Source organism: Homo sapiens, chromosome 1, assembly GCF_000001405.40.
Source record: "Homo sapiens chromosome 1, GRCh38.p14 Primary Assembly".
Taxonomy (NCBI): Eukaryota; Metazoa; Chordata; class Mammalia; order Primates; family Hominidae; genus Homo; species Homo sapiens.
The window spans coordinates 3,446,147-3,453,561 of record NC_000001.11 but is presented as its reverse complement, the minus strand read 5'-3'; the positions used below and the strand labels follow the sequence as shown (position 1 = coordinate 3,453,561).

Below are 7,415 nucleotides of genomic sequence, written 5' to 3'. Positions count from 1 at the left end.
CCTCCTGCTCTGGTCGCCCCACCCACTAGTCCCCCAATGTCTGCCCTGTGGCTGGGGCTGCCTGGGTGTCAGGTGCCATCTGGGCAGGGCACAGGCTGGCCTCAGGGATGGGTCCCGTGGGCCATCCATCCCCTGGGAGGGAGGGTGGATGAGGGAGGAGCTAAGAGTTGACCCCTGTGGGCTGCAGCCTCCACCTGGAGCCGCCTGTGGGGAGGTTCCACTTCCAGGCAGCTCTTGGGAAAGGCAGGTGGCTGCTGCCCTCCTGAGTCCATGATGGGTACTGCACCGACGAGGCCCGGCCTGCCGGAGGGAGCTGGGGTGTCCCGGAGCCTTGACCCGTGAGGGGACTGAGGTGCGGTGGGGTCACTGAGGCCCAGTGAGGGGACAGAAGCCTTGCCCCAGGCCAGTCAGCAGGACCCAGGTTCCTGATTCCCACTGAGTGCTTTCCTGTAAAACCCTCTTTCAGTAGCTGCCTCCAAGTTACCCCCAACCCCACACCTTCTGTCCAGCCCCTGCTGGGCCCGTTCAGCCACCCTGGGTCTGGCTTCGTCTCCCCATGTCCTGCTGGCTTCCAGAGGCCACTCAGCGTGTGCTTGGGATGGTCCCTTTGCTGGGGATGTCACCTGAGCTGGCGTCAGGACCTCTCTGTGCCTCTGTCACCTCTGCTGTAAATGAGGGCCTGATGCTGGCGCAGGAGATCGCCCTGGCATGAGGCCTAAGGGAGAGGTTGGAAGGAACCAGCTTGGAGACCTAAGGGGCTCGCAAGGAGAGAGAGACTCCGGGGAGGCCTGCCAGTGGGAGGCCTGCCAGTGGGGTCGGCCCGTGGCACTTCCTGCACCTCTGTGGTGGGATCCCGAGCCTGTGGCTCAGCCTGCCCTGGGGGCCTTCCCCTCCCACATTACTGGCAGGGGAGAAGATGTGGATCCCCCAAGCTTAACAGCCACTGTGCATTGCTGTAGGGTGGGCAGCGCTCTGGCCGAGCACCAGTGTGCCAGCCAGAAAGCACACCTCTATCTGCGGGAGCAGAGCTCCTTTCCTGCGGCTTGAGGTGGCCTGAGCTCCTGCGGGCCTTGCTTTGAGTTTTCCAAGCTTTTACTCAGCCACTGGGGCCACAGCACAGACAGCCCGTAGCCTTAGGTGGTACCTGAGGCCAGCAGCCCCTCGGGAGGCCTTTTGGCTCGACCTTCCAGGGTAGGTGTCCAGGGCTGAGGGTGAGCTGAGGCTGCTGGGCAGGTTTGTCCTCCCTGCCAGGCCGAGTGGGCGGTGCTCCCACCTGCTCCCCTCCCTCCCTGGGGCCCTAAGGAGCACACGGGGTGGAGGGAAGGCCATGACAGCCCTCAGTTCTCAGGCCCTCAACGCTGGGCTGCCCTGTTACCCACTGCAGTTCCATGGGTGTCCTCTCCAGCCCGTAGGCAGCTGGGAAAGGGCCCCAAGGGCGCGGCTGTGAGTGGGATGGAGGACAGAGACGCCTCTGCTGGGTGGGTGGAGGCCCATGGCTGGGGGGGCCGGGCTGGTGGGAAGAAGGTTGGGTTTGAGGAGCAAATGCCCCTCCTCCTTGTACCCTAAAATAGCAGGTCATTACTTCCCATTAAGCACCTACTATGTGCCAGCCTCATGCTGGGGGCCTTGCACGCGTCATCTTAGTGAATTCTTACAGAAAGCCCCTCAGATGCCCCCCGCTTAACTGAGAGGAGAAATGTTTTGCCCCTTGTTACCTGGCTGGTAAGTGGCCCAGCCACAGTTAGAGCCCAGGTCTGTCTGACGCCAAAGCCCAGGATCCCTAGTCATCATTAGGGACCATTTCTGGTTTACAAAGACATGCATATAGTATTTATATTTTTATATAAAAATATATAAAAGCAACCCCATGTATCTTCCCCAAATTGAGAATTTAAAACATGTCAGGTGTTTTGGCCATGACGAAGTAGTCGGTACCAGACTTGTCTGTCACCACAAACAACTCAAACATGGAACAAAAAATACGAGAAACAACTCTTTCTAACACTGGACAACAGGTGCAGAGACAGAAATTCCTGGAGAAAGAGGTAAATAAGCCTTTGGCCAAGAGAGGCTGGTGGCCTCACTGGGCTACAGGGGACAGAGTTGGGGAGCCAAGGAGGCCAAGGACTATGGAGAGAGTCCTGGAGAGAAGGCAGCAGTGCAGGGGAGCCCCGAAAGAGTCCTGGAGAGAAGGCAGCGACGTAGTGGAGCCCCCAAAATCCCCACAGGGGTCCACTTGAGCCTTTGGCTGAATACTGAACTGTGCATAAGCAGAGTAAGATCCCATGAAGCCAGGGACCAACAGCGACCAGGGAGCTCTGTGAGCAGAGTGACACCAGAGTTCATACCAGGCCAGGGGACGCTGGAACGTCAGCCACCAGGAAGGAAGCACCGTCGCTGACTATCCCTCGTTGACCTCAGCCGCTTGGGAGTCTGAGGTGGGAGGATCGCTTGAGCCTGGGGAGGACGAGTCTCCAGTGAGCTATGATCGAGCCAGTGTACTCCAGCCACTGTACCAAGACTCTGTCTCAAAAAAAGAATGTCTGAAAAATTTCCAAATGTGATAAAAACTTGTAGATCCACAGATCCAAGAACCTCAAAGCAATGGAGAATAAGTCCAAAGAAGTCAAAGCAGCATACGTACAAAGCAGACCCCACCACAGTACCTCATAATGAAATGGCTGAAAACCAGGGACAGAGGGAAAAAATCCTGACCACCCAGAATATTCAGTAGATACCAAAGAAGGCCATGTCCTAGGTGAAGGGCTGAAGTAATCCTAGGGTGACAGCTCCTCTAGACATGACCTAACAGAAGTTCAAAGCAAGTCCTGAGAGGACCAGGCTGATCCACAAGTACGTTAACTGTGCATCAGCATAACACTCAACATGCTTGAAAAGAAGGCCAGTAAAATCCAGAAACTCAAACAATTTGACATTTACGACCTCCAGCACCCAATGCAAAATTACACATTTACAACCTCCAGCACCCAATGCAAAATTACACATTTACGACCTCCAGCACCCAATGCAAAATTACACATTTACGACCTCCAGCACCCAATGCAAAATTACACATTTACGACCTCCAGCACCCAATGCAAAATTACTAGACATGTGAAGAAGCAGGAACAGGAACCTGTGACAAATAACTAGGAAAAAAATCAGTCAGTAGAAGCAGACCCAGAAATGACACGGATGACAGGATTCGCAGAGAAGGCATTTAAAACAACAATCAAAAATACCCCAAAGGATCAGCTGGGCATGGTGCCGCATGCCTGTAATCCCAGCACTTGGGAAGGCTGAGATGGTGAGTTGCTTGAGTCCAGGAGTTCAAGACCAGCCTGGGCAACGTGGTGAAACCCCATCTCTACAAAAAATACAAAAAATTAGCTAGGTGAGCTACTCAGGAGACTGGGGTGGGAGGATCACTTGAGCCCAGGATTTGGAGGCTGCAGTGAGCTGAGCTCGCACCACTGCCCTCCAGCCTGGGCAACAGAGCCAGACCCTGTCTCTCTCTCTCTATACACACACACACACACACACACACACGCGGACACACACGGACACACATATACACACACACACATATATATAATATATACACACACACCACCCAAGGATTTATAGGAAACGATGATCACAGTCAAAGGAGAGATGGAAAGTATAATAATGAATCAAATGGAAATCCTAAAGATGAAAATATACAGTGTAGGAAACAAAAAATCTATTGGATGAGATTAACAGCAGATGAAACTACAGAGGAAAACAATCAGTAAACTTGAAGCCAGGACAAGTTACTCAGACTGAAGCACGCAGAGGAAAAACCTAGGGAAAAGGCAGAAACCGAGCCTTGCCCACCTTGAGACGGTATCAGGCATCAGGCAGTCTAACAATATGTGTAACTGGAGGACCAGAAAGGAGGGAGTGGGGAGGGAAGAACATATGTTTAAAGCAATGGCTGGGTACAGTGGCTCACGCCTGTAATCCCAGAACTTTGCATGACTGAGGCGGGCGGATCACTTGAGGCCAGAAGTTCGAGACAAGCCTGGGCAACATGGTGAAACCCTGTCTCTACTAAAAGTACAAAAATTAGCCAGGCATGGTGGTGCATGCCTATAGTCCCAGCTACTTGGGAGGCTGAGGTGGGAGGATTGCTTGAGCCCAGGGAGGTCGAGGCTCCAGTGAGCTGTGATTGAACCACTGTACTCCAGCCTGGGTGACAGACCAAGACTCTGTCTTATTAAAAAAAAAAAAAAAGGAAGAATGGCTGAAAATTTTTCAGATGTAATAAAAACTCATAGATCCACAGAATCAAGGACCTTAAAATGAAGTAGAATAAGTACAAAGATGTCAAGGCAGCATACGTACAAAGCAGACCACACCAAGGTACCTCATAATGAAATGGCTGAAAACCAGTGACAGAGGGAAAAATCGTAAGGGAATAAAGACCAAAATAACTGCTGGCTTGTCATCAGAAACACTGAAAGCTGAGAGAACTACAACAACATCTTTAAAGTGCTGAAAGAAAACAAAACTGTCAACCAAGATGTCCATTTCTCTTGAAAATATCCTTCAAAAATGAAAGGAAAATAAAGACATGTTAAGGCAAACGCTGAGAAAATTCATCACCAGTAGACCCACACTATAAGAAATGTCACAGGAATTTTTTCAGGCGAAAGGAAAATGATACCAGATATAAATTCAGGTCTGCACAAGGAGTAGAAACCCACTGGAAATGGCAAATATGTCAATAAATGTGAGAGGCTTTTTTTCTGTGCTTCAAAACATTCCTTTTTTTTTTTTTTTTTTAAATGGAGTCTCACTCTGTCGCCCAGACTGGAGTGTAGTGGCACGATCTCAGCTCACTGCAACCTCCACTTCTTGGGTTCAAGTGATCCTCCTGCCTCAGCCTCCCCAGTAGCTGGGACTACAAGCACACACCACCATGCCTGGCTAATTTTTGTATCTTTTTAGTAGAGATGGGGTTTCACCATTTTGGCCAGGCTGGTCTTGAACTCTTGACCTTGTGATCTGCCCGCCTTGGCCTCCCAAAGGGCTGGGATTACAGGTGTGAGCCACTGCACCCGGCCCAAAACAGTTCTTTAAAAGATCAGAGACTAATGTGAAAATAACGACAGTGTATTATCAAATTTATATGTAAAAGTGAAATATATTACAGTAAAAGTTCAAAATGCAGGAGGAGAGAATAGAAATATACCAGAGTAAAGTTTGTATATTTTACAGTGAGTATAATATCACTTAAAGATAGACAATGATGAAGATAAATACTGAAAACTCTAGATCAGACACTAAAAATTAAGGTGAGGAGCTACAGCTAATAAGTCCAGGGAGAAGAGAGAATTGAATCCTAGAAAATACTCATCCAAAAGAGGGCAGAGGAACAGAAAAAAAGACGAAAACCAGATCTGACAAATAGAAAACAAATATCAAGATGGTAGCCTATATCTAACCATACCAATAATTATATTAAATGTGAATGGATTAAACACCCCAATTAAAAGATAGAGATTGTCAGACTGGATAAAAAGCAAGACCCAGTGACATGATGCTTATTAGATAGGGTGATTCAAATATAAAGACACAGATAGGATGAGAGTAAAAGGAAAGTAAGAGATACGCATGCAACTATTAGTCACAAGAAAGCATGCATGGCAATGCTGATATTAGACAAAAGCGGATTTCAGAATAAGAATATTGCCATGGGGAAAAGGGACAGTTTGTAATAATAAAGGATTCAGTTGGTCAAGAAGACAGTCCTAAGTGCATATCCACATAATAACAGTTTCAAAATACACACGAGCAGATGACCACTGACCAGGCTGAAAGGAAACCAGACCCACAGGTATAGTTGAAAGTTTCAACACTTGCTCTCAACAACTGATAGGACACTAGATAGCAAAATCACCAAGGGTATAAAACACTTGACCAACCCTATCAACCAACTTGACCTAATTGACATTTATAGAGCGCTGTGCCCAACAACTCCAGAATTCATATTCTTTTCAAGTACACATGAAATATACACCAAGACAGACCACGTATTAGGCCATAAAACATGCCTGCATACATTTAAAATGACTGAAATCCCACAGAGTGTGTTTTCTGACAACACAATTAAATTAGAAACCAATCACAAAATGATATCTGAAAAATTCTTAAATATTTGGAAATTAAACAATGCACTTTTAAGTAATCTGAAGGTCAAAGAAGGAATTGCAGGAGAGAAATTAGAAAATATTTTAACTGAATTATAATGAAAATACGTAATATGAAAATGTATGGACTGCCCTTAACGTGCTTAGTGGGAAACTGATGACTTTGAATGCTTGTTAGAAAAGAAGACATGTTGAAAGTTGATCTAAGCTTCCATCTTTAAGTGAAAAAAAATTAGTGCAAATTAAAACCAAAGTAAATTTAAAAATAAGAAATCAATGGAAATCAGTACCATAGACAATAATAGAGAAACTCAATAAAATAAAAGGTTATCTTTGAAAAGATCAATACAATTGATAATACGAGGTTAGAAAAGAAAGAGATAAGGCTCAAATTACCAATATCAGGAGAGAAAGAGGGCCACCACTACTGATCTTGCAGATGTTAAAATGATAAGAAAATATTCTGAGTAAACTTTTGCCAATATATTCAATCACTTAGATGGAATGGCCGTGTTCCTTAAAAGACACAAATCATCAAAACTAGCATAAGAACAAATAGAAAATCAAAATAGCACTGTATCTATTGAAAACATACAATTTTATATTTTGTTTATTATTTACTATTACTATTTTTTGAGACAGGGTCTCACTGTGTCACCCAGGCGAGAGTACAGTGGCGCAATCACGGCTCACTGCAGCCTCAACCTTCCGGAGTCAAGCAATTCTCCTGCCTCAAGCCTCCTGAGTAGCTGGGACCACAAGCATGCACCACACCCAGCTAATTTTTAAATTTGTTGTAGAGATGGGGTTTTGCCTTGTTGTCCAGGCTGATCTCCTGAACTCAAGTGATCTGCCAGTCTCAGCCTCCCAAAGTGCTGGGATTACAGATGAGAGCCACTGCACAGGGCCTGTTTTTTAAATTTTTTTAATCCCTAAACTTATGGTAAGAATTCTTAATTAAAAAACAAACAAACAAAAAAACCTTTACACAAAGAATACTCCAGGCCCTAGTGACAACACTGGTGAATTCAGTTAAACATTCAATCAAAAGGAAGGAATAATACCAATCTCGCATAACCTCTTTCAGAAACATGAAGAAGAAGAAACATTTCTCAACTCATTTCATGAGGCCAGTATTGCCCTGACACCAATACTAAAAAGTCACCAGAAAACAAAATTATAGACTAATATTCCTCATGGATATAGGTACAGAATTATTTTATAAAATATTAAATCAAA

The 7,415-nt window shown here is 46.2% G+C and overlaps 1 annotated feature.

Moving 5' to 3' along the window:
• Positions 63-815: an enhancer, noted in NCBI's record as "H3K27ac-H3K4me1 hESC enhancer chr1:3369311-3370063 (GRCh37/hg19 assembly coordinates)". NCBI's record gives its function as "activates a minimal SCP1, AML or CMV promoter by ChIP-STARR-seq in primed H9 embryonic stem cells {active_cell/tissue: H9 hESC(primed)}" and the evidence as "EXISTENCE:reporter gene assay evidence [ECO:0000049][PMID:30033119]".